This window comes from Homo sapiens, chromosome 22 (assembly GCF_000001405.40).
Source record: "Homo sapiens chromosome 22, GRCh38.p14 Primary Assembly".
In the NCBI taxonomy this organism is placed as follows: domain Eukaryota; kingdom Metazoa; phylum Chordata; class Mammalia; order Primates; family Hominidae; genus Homo; species Homo sapiens.
In genome coordinates, this window is record NC_000022.11 from 43571988 (window position 1) to 43586060 (window position 14073).

Genomic DNA, 14073 nt, shown 5'->3' on the forward strand with positions numbered 1-14073 from the left:
CAATTTAGGGGGTTGATCCCATTGAATTCCCAGAAAACAGATCGCACACTGATGGGACAGGGCAGGAGGTGGCCGGTGCAGGGATGCGTGCTGCAGGGACAGTGCCACCTCTGCATCCACGGTTCCTAGTCCACCGTGGTTAGTCCCTGTCTCAAGCACATTTCTCCTCTTCACTCTTGCTGCAATTTTCTCATGAGGATGTTGAGCAGGTGCTTCTGGAGGTGAAGGCAACTCTTTGTGATGCGAACTGGGCAGAACTAACCAATGTTGCGGGAGGCAAGCTGACAGCACATAAAGCTTTAGGAATGTTCTCTCCTTGGTCCAGCAATTCCAGGATCAGCAGAGGCTCCTTGTGACTCGTGCATGAGGACACTCAGGCCTCGCTGAGGGGGGACAGCAGACATGGAGCTTCAAGCCCGGTCTTCTCCACTTGCAGGTCCTTTAGGGGTATCTTGCTATAGCTCCTGAGCAGCCTAAGACAGTCCCCATGTCACTCAGAGTCAAAGCCAAAGTCTTTACAAGGACCCCAAGCCTACGGCCGCCTGGCTCCTTCGCTCCCTGGCCCCATCTCCTTAGACCTCTCCTTCATCTGCCCCCAAACCAGTTGGCCCCTTCCTGTGGATGCCATCGCACTAGCAGTGCCGGCCAGTCCCTTGCCCGATGTCACTGCTCACTCCCTCCCCTCCTCGTCGCTCGGATGTCACCCCTCGACAGGCCCTCCCTTCTGCTCTGCTCCATTTTTCTCCCAGCTGCTGCTGGAACCTGACATGTGACGGAGTCACTCACTCCTGCTCTGTCCCCCTCGCTAGAATGGGGGCTTCTGGAGGCAGGGACTGCATTTGTTTACTTTGCTGCTAAACCTGGCACCCAGCTCAGCGCCTGGTACACATGGGCCATAGGAAACACGTGTCATGAGAGAGTGAATGAACCCACACGATGGAATGGCACATGCTAGATGGAATCCATGCTTTAGAGGAAAATGAAGACCCCAGAGAATGCCAGTGCTACCACAGGAGGCGAAAAGGCAGGAGAGAACAGGCCAGGGGACCCCGGAGGTGAGGCCAGCGGAGCTGGAAGAGGAGAGTGGGATCCCTCATCTATCAAATCAGCACATCGGGGAATAACGCCTAAGACTGATCATTTAGGAAATGGCAGGGTAAGAATATTATTGAGAGACAGGAATATATGCAGCTGAAGAAACAGCAAAAAAACAAAATAAAAGTGATTGTTCTTGGGGAGCAGGACTGGAGGTTAAATGGGTGAGTCAAGTGATCTCTGTTTTTAAATCTTTTGCAACAATTCAATTTCATTTCTATATGGGCATATGTTACACTTTGATACAAATGAAAAATGTTTGTTAAAAAAAAAGACTTGCAAGAGTTCAGAACACAACCCCCAAACTCAGCAGTATACATGGTCTGTCCTCAGCCCCACTCCTAGAGGACATTCATATAATAAAAAGGGGCTGGGCACGGTGGCTTATGCTGTAATCCCAGCACTTTGGGAGGCCGAGGCTGGTGGATCACCTGAGGTAGGAGTTTGAGACTAGCCCGACCAACATGGAGAAACCCCATCTCTACTAAATATACAAAAATTAGCCCGGCATGGTGGTGCACACCTGTAATCCCAGCTACTCGGGCGGCTGAGGCAGGAGAATCGCTTGAACCCAGGAGGTGGAGGTTGTGGTAAGCCAAGATTGTGCCATTGCACTCCAGCCTGGGCAACAAGAGTGAGTCTGTCTCAACAAAAAAAAAAAAAAAAAAAAAAGGACTGGGCACAAACATGCCAAAGTATTAATACTAGTTGTCCCAAGGGGTGATTGTAATTATTTTCTTCAAATGTATCAGCATATTCCAAACAGTATATAATGGACATAAACAACTTCTACGAATGTCAGCTTAAATCATATGAAATTGTCAATATTCAATCATTTATGTCTTTAAAAATGGTAATTTCATACAGTCCAACCCAATAGGACAGAATTATTTAAAATATATATAAGGGGCTGCTTTTAAGATCAATAAAACGATTCCTATCCCTTGACTCCAGTTATTTTATTTCTTGGATCTTTCCTAAGAAATGAACCCAAAATGTAGATAGAGATTTACATGCAAAGTGCTCACTGTAAATTACAGAGGCAAAAGCTGGAAAAAAAAAATCCTAAATGCTTAAAAATAAGGGAGTGGGTGCAATGTTATATAGACCTTTTGGCTGATGTTTGGGAAATCTTTAAGTGACAGGGTACAATTTAACGTTAAGTGAAAAAAAGCAAGATACATGAATATATACACACTGTCATCTCCACCATGTAAAAAAATGCGTTAGAAAAAAAAAAACTTCTTTAAGGCAGGGTAGTGCATAGAAAGAACACCAGCTCTGAAGCCGAACCCTCCGGCTTGCCACTCCTTGCTGAGCTCAGGTGGCTACATGACTTCTGGGAGCCTGTCTACTCCGCCTTCCCCAACAGGCATGACAGTGAGATGAGAAATCGCAGGTGAAGGGCCCAGAGCTTAGTAGGTGCTCACCAAATGGTGGCCAAGGTTGTTCTTGTCATCATCCCCATCATCGTGGGGTCTAGATTACTGCTATCCTTTTTTACGTATATTTTTTGCATTGTCCCCAATGTCTCCCATGAATATGTATTCCTTTTAAAATGACAAAAAAAAAAAAACCATAATCATAAAAATAGCAAGGGTCACTATAAAACAAGAGCAAAGACAAGCCATGGACCAGCAGAAGGTATTTGCGACGCACATGACAACCAAGGGCTTAAAGCCTTTCAGGTCATTTGTAGACAACGAGACCTGAATAGTTGACAACCCATGAAAGTGTCTGACCTTACTAAGGATCACATGGTAGAAGTTAAAATGTTTAACAATACCAAGGGACAGCAGGGATGTGGAGTGTCAGGAACTCTCCTGTACCACTGGTGGGGCTGTACATTGTACAACCACTTAGGAGAATGCTGGCCGTTTCTGGGAAGCTGAACATGGACCCGCCCTCCCATCAGCAATTCCATGCAGAGTAGCTCCAGTGTGTGCACACAAGGAGACAAGCACAGAAGGGTGACTGGTGCTTTGCTTGTAATGAAGGAAACTGAGAACAACCTGCATGTTCATTAACAGGAGGGTGACGACCGAATGGCAGCATGTTATTCACAATCATATATTCAGTTAATAGACTGTTTTTGTTGTTGTTGTTGTTGTTTGTTTGTTTGTTTTGAGACAGAGTCTTGCTCTGTCACCCAGGCTGGAGTGTAGTGGTGCAATCTCGGCTCACTGCAACCTCCGCCTCCTGGGTTCAGGTGATTCTCCAGCCTCAGCCTCCTGAGTAGCTGGGATTACAGGCACCAGCCACCACATCCGGCTATGTTTTTTTTTTTTTTTTTTTTTGTATTTTCAGTGGAGATGGGGTTTCATCATGTGGGCCAGGCTGGTTTCAAACTCCTGACCTCAGGTGATCTGCCCACCTCGGCCTCCCAAAGTGCTGGGATTACAGGCATGAACCACCGACTTTTTATAGCAGCTTAAGTGCATCAACTAAAGCCAACATATTAACATGGATAAATCTAAAATGCATTACTATAAGAAAAAATAAGTGCAGATACAACATTCAATATAATATCACTTACATAAAGCTTAAAGGCATGCAACACAATAGTGTATTTTGTTTAGAAACATCCATCTAAATGGCAAAGATGAAAAAAAAAATCACAAAAACCACAGTGTTTAGGAACCTGGAGTCAGGCTTACAAACCAGCCCCATTACTCACTAGCTGGGTGACTGTGGATAATACTTAATGTCTCTGTGCCAAGGCCTCATCTCTCAACTGGGGATAGTAACAGCTTGTATCTCATAGTGACCTCAACATGATTACACATGTTAATATATATACAAAGGACTAGAAATAGTGGCAGGTACATAGAAGACATGCTATAGTGTTTGCTGCTGTTATTATTAACCTGAAACCTTAAAAATGTTCATGCTGTTTGCTTTAGTAATCTCATTTCCCAGATCATCTTCTGGGATCTAAGACTCCTTAGAATGCTAAATCAACCAGAGAAAACAAGCTCCCAAACCTCTTTGAAAATTAAAATAAAATAAAATAAAAATTTCCAACAAAGTAAAGGATGCATATTCACCTTCTAATACTCTGTATATAATTTATACCAGTTTTTCATTTAGAATGAGCTAATTACATGAGGTGATTGCCAATTTATCTGATATGGTTCTAATCAATTATCCATTTTGTAAAAACTAATTTTAGCTCATTTTCAAAGAGATGCTTATGTGCTGCAGACATTCTTACCTCCTCAAGGAAACAGCTAAAGTTCTGGAGAAAATATTTCCAATTTATATAGGGGGTTAGATGAATTCTTAGTTTCCTCAAAAAATAATGATACTGATTGTCCGTTAGTTTGTAACAGAAATCCTTAAGAACTTGTCCGAATTCTGTAGCCTTTACAAATCCTGTATCCTCTTTATCCAATGCAGAAAATGCCTAAAAAGAAAGAAAAGAAAAAAAGATGGCAAATCCTGTCAAATGAATACTTCTAAAACACTTTCCTTAAGTACTGTTTCTGCTGAATGCAAATGAAGCCTAGTGTATAAAAGTACCTTGTAAATTCTAAATTACTAAATAAATGCACCATTATTGAAGGACTGAGACAAGTATGATATGAACGCAGTATGGGAGCTTATGAGTTCTAGAGGAAATTTGCCTTACTTGCTCCTATTTGGATGTGAGGAGGAAGGAGAATAAAGAGGAATCCTGGCCCCAAGCACCCGTAACCTTCCTGATGGAAGCCTCGCCCCTGCTCCCAGGATCCCTGTTTTACAGAGCAGAGCAGAGAGTAACTTGCTCAAGCTCTCTTGACCCTTACATTCTACTTCCTTTAAGTATTAATTAGTTGTAACAGGAGGCTCAGGAGAGACCCCACCGCATCACATCAGGGCTGGTGTCTCAAGACAGGAGTCTGACTTTGGGAGCAGCTGGGAGGAGGGATCAGGGGACCACCCTGACCCCACCCCTGTCCTTCACAACCAGGCTTGTGTGCTGAGGTTGCTGTCCTTTCCTGAGTCTCGGCCAGAGCCCGAGTGGCCTTGCATCATGAGAAGCTGCCCTGGGTCTGCACTGGAGCAGCGGGGGCACACGTTGTGAATCCTACAGTAGAGTAGTTAAACTGAAAAAGTGCAAAAATGTGCTATAAAAAGAAAGCACATTTTTTTCCATCTGTCGAAATAAAATCATTCATTTTTATTACACCAGGAAATCTGCATCCAGGGGTAGATTAAGATCTTTTTTAAAGGAAGAATTTAGCATGCCTGCAAACCCCACACCCTTGTAGTTAATTCTCATTCGGGGCTAATTAGGCACGCCCCATTGGCCCAACAGGGTGATGGCATATGTGTAATCAAATTAACCTTAAAACATCAGATAGCTTCACATTTTCATGTAGTTCATGGTAACATGAGGTAGCTGTGTACAGTGGGAAATCCCCTAGCCAGGAGTTGTTCTGGGAACCTGGGCTCTGCTGCCCACCATAAGTCCTGAACCTCTCTAAACTTTAGCTTCTTTACTGTAAAGATGGACTTAACTCAGAGGGCAGGTGTAAGTTTTCCTAAGTTTGCTGGAAAATGCCCCCATCCAGGTACCTGGCCCGTGGGGATCTCAAATGTTAAGGAGAACGATCATAAGAATGAACACAGACAACTGTGCCGCAGGGGCAATGGCAGCGGCAGGCTCAGGTGTGAAGAGGAGCCTCCTGCAAAGCTCAGCTGGCTGGGCTGCCCCTCCTCACTCCTTCCCTCCCCACATTTAATCCCTCACACCGCACCGGGACTCCGGAGCCCACCTTGCTTCCCTACACCAAGGAAATTGGGATGTGATTTACAAAAAAAAAAAAAAAAGTTTAAAATAGATCTCAGGAGTGGAGAGTGAGTGATTCCCACCTCCAAGAGTCTGATACCCTAAAAGGGTCACTAGCCTTGATTTCTTCAAAAGTCATGACACTAACTAAGGTCGATCCTCAGAAGAAGTCATGGGCAGTAGACATCACATCTCTAGTAAAGATCTTCAGGACTTCAATTCTTCAAACCACCTGGATTTGGAAAAGAAGGGCTGCGACAAGTCCATTTCCCCTTCCTCCTCAGGTTCTGGGCTCTGCTCCATAGTCCCTGTGTGACCCTGGGCAGGTTTATTCACGCTGAGCCTCAGTTTCCCCTCCTGTAGAGTGGAATCAGGAGCCCCACCTTGCAAGGTTATGATCAAAGAGAAAAAGACTCATGAACTCTCATTAGGGCTTGTGGCCCCCCAGCACCCTGGGAAGCCCTCTAGAGTGTGTGGAGCCAGGACTCTGTGACGTTAGAAGGGATGTTCACTGTGGGGATTGAGAGGTGTTGAGTGGATCTTTCAGTCTGGGTTGCTGTGGCTGTTTGGGCTCTGGGTGCCGGCTTCCCACAGGATGATTCCGACGCTGCCTTGTTCTCTTCGATGCCTGCCCTCTGCAGAAAGCATCTTCCCTTCTTGACGCTGACACACAGAAGCTCACCTGGGAGCACCACCTCACCAGGAGGCTGGTTCCAAGCACAATATCCAAGGACACCAGCACAGTCCACAGCATCAGTACTCCACACACACAAGCATCATTCCATACATGTAGGCATCATACCCTACACGCGGTCATCATTCCCTACGTGCAGGCATTATTCTGTACATGCAGGCATCATTCCATACACACAGGCATCATTCCCTACACACAGGCATTATTCCCTACAAGCAGGCATCATACCCTACACGCAGGCATCATTCCCTACATGCAGGCATCATTCCCTACACGCAGGCATCATTCCGTACATGCAGGCATCATTCCCTACACGCAGGCATCATTGTCTACATGCAAGCATCATTCCATACGTATAGGCATCATTCCGTACACGTAGGCATCATTGCTTACATGCAAGCATCATTCCATACACATAGGCATCATTCCGTACACGCAGGCATCATTCCGTACACGCAGGCATCATACCCTACATGCAGGCATCATTCCCTACACGCAGGCATCATTCCGTACATGCAGGCCTCATTCCCTACACGCAGGCATCATTGTCTACATGCAAGCATCATTCCATAAGTATAGGCATCATTCTGTACACGTAGGCATCATTGCTTACATGCAAGCATCATTCCATACACATAGGCATCATTCCGTACATGCAGGCATCATTCCCTACATGCAGGCATCATACCCTACATGCAGGCATCATTCCCTACATGCAGGCATTATTCCCTATACGCAGGCATTATTTCCTACAGATAGGCATCATTCTCTACACGCAGGTATCATTCCCTACACGCAGGTATCATTCCCTACACATAGGCATCATTCCCTACACGCAGGCATCATTCCCTGCATGCAGGCATCATTCTGTACATGCAGGCATCATTCCCTACATGCAAGCATCATTCCATACATATAGGCATCATTCTGTACATGTAGGCATCATTGCTTACCTGCAAGCATCATTCCATACACATAGGCATCATTCCGTACACGCAGGCATCATTCCCTACACGCAGGCATCATTCCCTACACGCAGGCATCATTCCCTGCATGCAGGCATCATTCCCTACATGCAAGCATCATTCCATACATATAGGCATCATTCCGTACACGTAGGCATCATTGCTTACATACAAGCATCATTCCATACACATAGGCATCATTCCATACATGCAGGCATCATTCCCTACACACAGGCATCATTCCGTACACGCAGGCATCATTCCCTACAGGCAAGCATCATTCCACACACGCAGGCATCATTCCCTACACGCAGGCATCATTCTCTATATGCAGGCATTATTCCCTACACTCAGGCATCATTCCCTACATGCAGGCATCATTCCGTACACGCAGGCATCATTCCCTACACGCAGGCATCATTGCCTACATGCAAGCATCATTCCATACACATAGGCATCATTCCGTACACCGTCTAAAGCACCACGCAGATGGAAGCTGTAGAATGTCAACCTACTCAGGTGACTCCCCTTGCTCCTGGAGGACTTCACAATGAAGTCTCTGTGCCACAACCTGGCTCAGTTCAACCTCTTCAAGGCCACCTTGAGTCCTTCATCTCTGTGGACCCAGTGCCTGGCTGCGTTGAGAGCTCCCAGGATGCGCTGAGCCCACTCTTGCCCAAGGGCCTCTGTTTTCTGCCTTTTTTGCCCAGAGCCCCATGTCCTCACCCCAGACTCAGCATTTCTAAATGCTGAGCACTCCCACCTCAGAGAGCACATGCTGGGGTGGAAGAGTGGATACACAACTACCCACATAAAAACTCTGCTCATGGTTAACTAGACACCCCAAGGAGAATGAACAGAGGTGGGAGGGGTTTCAGGGTGGGGCTGAGAGGTGTTTTCATGAATCAAGATGAGTTTTCACAGTAAAGCACTTTCAGCCTGTCATACCGTGGACAAAGCCAGCTGGGAGGACTCAACTACTTCCTGGATCTTCCTCACAGCCTCCTGTGGATTCAGCGTTGCAAAATTGATTGGCATGCTCTCTTCTTTTTCCTTGGGCTGAGCTCCTGTTGACTTGCTGTTCTCCACTGCTCTCAGGAAGTCGAGGTAATTGATAGCATTATCATGCCGGCTGACTCCCCAACTTGTCCCAAAAGGAAGAAAAGAACATATTCATTTTAAAAAGCCACCCTACTGCTTATTCATTCAACAGTTGCTGAGCACATTGGGCAATGTGGGGAAAATGAATAATTTTAAGACACCATTCCCTTCGCTGTACGTGCAGACATGGCAGTTAGCTCTGCTCTCAGGTAGACACACACATCCTGCAATAAGAGGACACAGGGTGATGAGAGGTGAGAGTGCAGTTCACTGACGGCCGGAGGGCCACAGCTGCCCGACCTGAAGACCTGAGGCTTGAAGGCTGGATATCAGGGTTCGTGGCTTTGCAGAAGATGGTAAGGGAGGTGTCTGCTGAGAATCTGGCCCTATGACGGGGGCACGTGAAAGTATGTTGGCAGGGATGTGACATTTGCATAGCAGCATCATGGGAAGATAAATCTGACAGCGGCTCAAAGACAGTGTGGAAGTGAGACTGTGGGGTGGTGGCAGTGGTGGGAGAGCAGCAGTCTGGATGGGGGGCTCCTGGGGTCATGGAGGCCTTAACCAAGAAGGGCCTGGACTTAGAAATTGCAGTGGGATTTAAAAGAGAGGAAACATGTCAAAGACAGTGAAAAGAAGAAGAGGAACTGAGTAAGAAATACATTAAATTCTCTTTCAGGAGTGGTTGAAATGAAGTTGTCAAGCTGAAAGCACTCAAAAGATATTTTACAAAACCTATCTAGCTGAGGATTTTCTCAAATAAAAATCCACCTGCATCGATGGCTCAGCAAGGACATCCCTATGGAAGCAGAGGCTCATTCATCTCCTTGACTCTGACACAGAAGAAATTACCTAAGTTCTGGAAGACTAAATTGTGAGGTAAAATCCAAAAGTCTCACGGAACATATAGCATATCTATTAAAGATGCAAAATAATTAAAATAAAGTTTAATTGCATTCAAAGTTCACATTTCTACAACTTAAATTCCTGGGGAATTGCTGGCACTTAAACACCTAAACTTTCTCTCAGCAGCATTGGGCTCAAGTGTCAACGTAGAAGAGCTTGGAATGCCGGTAAGGTGGAGACAGAAGTTTCCAGTGACTCAGATATCTGCTTCTAAAGAAGATGAGCCAAGAGCTGAGCTTTTCCAACCCACAGCTGCAGAGCCGCCTTGCACAGGCTCTGCGTCGGGTCGGCTTGCATGATGGAGACACCAAGGAAAAGGACAATCAACACTATTTCATCAGCGGGATAAATTGCCAACGTGGTATTAAAATGTAGTAATAAAATCATATGCATATGCTAATCTCAGTAGTATTTAGAAAAGTCTATTTTGGATCTAGAAAAGAATAATCTACATATAATTACAAGTAACAGAGATGTTTATCATCAAGAGGTCTTTGAGAAGAAACAAGCAACTGTGCAATGGATCCTTATTAAGGTTTCAATACATAAAAAAGTTGATCACCCGCATTGAAAGGTGGGCTTCAGAAATCCCAGTCCTTTTGTTGTTGTTTATAAAAGTATCAAGCCTAACTATGTTTTAACAAGAATCTCTTATAATCATTTAGTTAATTTATCTGCTATTTTTCCATGATTTATTCATTGAATGCATATGAATTCTTGTTCAGCTGGAAATAGATTCAGTGAAAAGAGATCCTGTTTAAGGAAGAAAAAAACATATAGGCATTTGAGGATGAAATGGTCCTTCCTTTCTATACACATACACACACACACACACACACACACACATACACACAGGCGTTGGACTTCTCATAGCTCAAACACAATGGATCAATGTCTTCAAACTTTTAAGGGAATTATTTTCTTCCTAAGAGTCTATGCTCAGACAAGCCATCAATGTGTGTGAAGAAGAATTTAAAAAGTTTCAGTTCAATAAGAACTCAGAAAATTTACTTCCTGTCCACCCATTCTTATGAGATTACTTCAGGAAGTACTCCAGCAAAAGAAGAATGTAAATCAAGAAACAAAGAGATGTGGGATATAGGAGACAGGGGATCCAACCTAGATAATAGTGGAGGCAGCACAGGATGGTAGATCGCAGACCTAGAGCAGGAAAATGTGGCAGGGGGTGGGAGGGCACCAGGTTATCAGATACAGATGCCAGGGGAAAAAAACTCAAGAGAGGAGAAAGTGGAATAGAATGCTGGGGAAACCTGAAGGTCAAAAATATTGAACGTTATCTGAGCCCTGTTCTAGAAAAAAGTGATGGTTAAAGAAATCACCCCAACCTTAATGTCCCTGGATAAGGCTACTGCAAACAACTACCTTTTCCCCATATGACTTAGAAAAGATTCATAGATGCCCCAAGGTTTACCTCTGATAGCAAGGACATAGACCCTCCAAATTCCCAGTCTCTGTCTCATAAATTATTAGCTGAACTGTTTGTTCCCACTGACTAATCTGGACAAAATACCTACTAACTGACCACAGTTTAGTTAAGCTACTCTCTTTTCTCCAGAACCTTGAACTTGGACCCACCTCAGCCAAAGCCAGCATCAGAATGTGGAATAGCCCCTCCCTAATTGCTCCTCAGGGACTCTGACCACAGGAAAGATGTTTCTTGCCCAGCTGTCTGGTCATACCATCTATTCATCTTACTCCCCATGCTTGGTTCTTTGTATCCTTGTTTACTCTTCCCCATTAAAGAAAAGCCCTCTTCTGCTTGCTCTTTGAGATGCTTACAGATTTCATGGTTGGGGCATTCTCTCCATTGTAATAATCTTCCTCTCCCTGTTGCAATAGTCGTTTCAGATAAAGTCTCTTTTACTTAAGTATGGATTTGTCTTTATTTGACAAGGTAAAACAAAGGCAGATATCATAAAGAAAATAAAGAATAAATTAAACTCCAGGAAACAACCTATCCAATAAAATCATAGATATGAAACAAATTTAAAACATTGCTATGGCCTATTTGTGTCCCCTCAAAATTCATATGTTAAAATGTTAACTCCCAAGGTAATGACCTTTTAGCAGCGAGGCCTTTGGGAGGTGATTAGGTCATGAAAACCGAGCCCTCATGAATGAGATTAGTGCCTTCATAAAGGAGGCCCCAGAGAGACCTTTGTCCCTTCTGCCACATGAGGTTACAGTGAAAAGACAGACATCTATGATCCAGGACATTTTCAGCAGATATTAAATCTGCTGGTACCTCAATTCTGAACTTCCTAGCCTCCAGAACTGTGAGAAATGAATTTCTGTTGTTTATAAGCCACACAGTTTACATTTTTTTATGGCAGCCCAAAGGGACTGAGACATATGTGAAATGATTTTCAGCAATTGGTGTAATCTACAAGAGAATCTATTTGACACTAAGGCTAGAGGCTCAGGGATAGTACCACTGGAAAACAAGCTAGTTTTCCTTCATTACCTGGATACTGAACAATATTTACATAGTTATAATAATAAAATGGTATTTAATAGTTTTCAAGTTTTAGAATCAACCTATGAACCAAGCAGGAAGGAACTGGTTGTGGCTGCAGGACAGAAGGTTAAATTTAACTACCTATCCAAAGGAAAAATCAAAGTGTAGCTGCCAAAAGCTGGACATGGAAGGAGTGGGGAAAGTGGCAGAGGGAGGAGGAGAAGAAGTGAGGTCACAGGGCAAAATGTCAACCTGAAACCTGGAGAGACAGGCACATGCAGAGAATCACAGCTGGGGCCTGCTTTCCTGGAGCAAAAGCCTTTGGAGGCACAGGCTGGCAGGAATACTCACATGGTAATCTTGGCAAATTCGTAGAGGCTGAGTGTGGACTAGTGTAAGAGTAAGAAATTCTGGGGGCCCAGTCTTACGTACCTCCCCACCCCCACCACCACTTTCATGGGCTTTAACTTCAGGAGTCTCACTAGCTTCTCACAGTGAAGATCTGAGAAAGATCCCCTCAGGGTTCTGGCAGGGGAAGGGGAAGAGCAATCCTGGTGCAATATGTCCCCAGCCTTCTCTATAACAACTTTCCAAGGGAAAAGACTTTCTGAGAGCCTTATCTTAGCTTTAGGGGAAGGGCAATCAGCCAACTCCAGCCCCATCTAGCATTCCTGTTTTACCTAAGTGGAAAAAAAACCCAATAAACATTTCTAAATGTTGTAGCCCATGGACTCAGCCCACTAAAAGACAGAAATGTAATCATAAAACTATAGAATGTTTCCCCTCCCCAATATTTTACCACCACATCAACCCAGCTGTAGTGAAATAATAATGGATTACAACTGAAAGAACTGCAAAACACATACTCTATTTAAGAAGGAGCTCCTAGGGAAACCCAGAAAACAGGAGAGGAAAAAACAAGGACACTGGAGTAAATTGGAGCCTTTGCACCAATAGCTACAGCAAACATTAAACATATCCTAACTCCTAGCCAAATGAACATAAAATCTCTAAAGGCTTATATACCTCAGTTCCTGTCTGGCTTTTGACAACAACAAAAAGTACAATGCATATAAACAGTCAAGAAAAGACACAGTATGAAGAAACCAAGCAAGCTGCAGAAGCAGACTCATATATGACACATATTTTGAAATTATCAGATAGGGAATTTAAAATAACTATGGTTAATATGTAAAGTGTTCTTATGGAAAAAGTAGACAACATGCAAGAACAAGTGGGCAATGTAATCAGAGATGGAAACTCTAAGAAAGAATTAAAAGAAAATGCCAGAAATTAAAAAAAAAAGCCACTGCAACAGAAATGAAGAATGACTTTGATGCGCTCATCAGCAGACCGGACATGGTTGAGGAGAGAATTAGTGAGCTTGAAGTATATCAGTAGAAACCTCTGAAACTGAAATGCAAAGAAAAAAAGAACGGGGAGAGGGTGGATAGGACAAGATATCCAAAGACTGGGAAAATTTCAAAATGTGTAACACCTGCATCATTGGAATACCAGAAAGAGAAAGAGAAATAAGCAAACAAACAAAGAAACAAAACAAGAGAACAAACAAAAACAAAAACCCATTTTAATTAATAATGGTAGAAACATTCCCAAAATTAATGACAGACAGCAAATTACACATCCAGGAAGTTCAGAGAACACCAAGCAGGATAAATCCCCCCAAATCTATACCTAAACATACTATATTCAAACTGGAGAAAACTAAAGACAAAGAGAAAATCTTGAAATAAGCCAGAAAATCTTAGGAAAACACCCTTATCTATAGAGGAACAAAGATAATGAATTATAAACATCAGGCTTCTTGCCAGAAATCATGCAACCAAGAGGAGAGTGGACTGAAATATTTGCAGTGTTGAAATATTTCAACAGTTTAAACCTAGAATGCTAAATCCAGTATTCTCTGTCAGAAATAAGGGAGAAATAAAGACTTTCTCAGACAAATAAAACTGAGAGACTTTATTACCAGCAGCCCTACCCTTCAAGAAATGTAAAAAGACATTCTTTAGAGAGAAGGAAAATCATACAGATCTACATC

At 43.6% G+C, this 14073-nt stretch overlaps 1 protein-coding gene across 19 annotated transcripts in view; it reads right to left on the reverse strand.

The window, feature by feature from the left end:
• Positions 1-14073, reverse strand: part of EFCAB6 (EF-hand calcium binding domain 6) — a 283528-nt gene that overhangs the window by 43210 nt on the left and 226245 nt on the right. For all 19 annotated transcript variants that reach the window (XR_007067980.1, XM_047441462.1, XM_011530319.4 and 16 more), the window contains 2 exons: positions 8477-8672; positions 4310-4501 (listed from right to left, as the gene is read on the reverse strand). Coding sequence is in view for 18 of the 19 variants with exons in the window: in XM_047441462.1 (XP_047297418.1) it covers positions 4310-4501; positions 8477-8672 (388 nt within the window). In the remaining variant the exon portion in view is untranslated. The remainder of the gene's footprint in view (positions 1-4309; positions 4502-8476; positions 8673-14073) is intronic.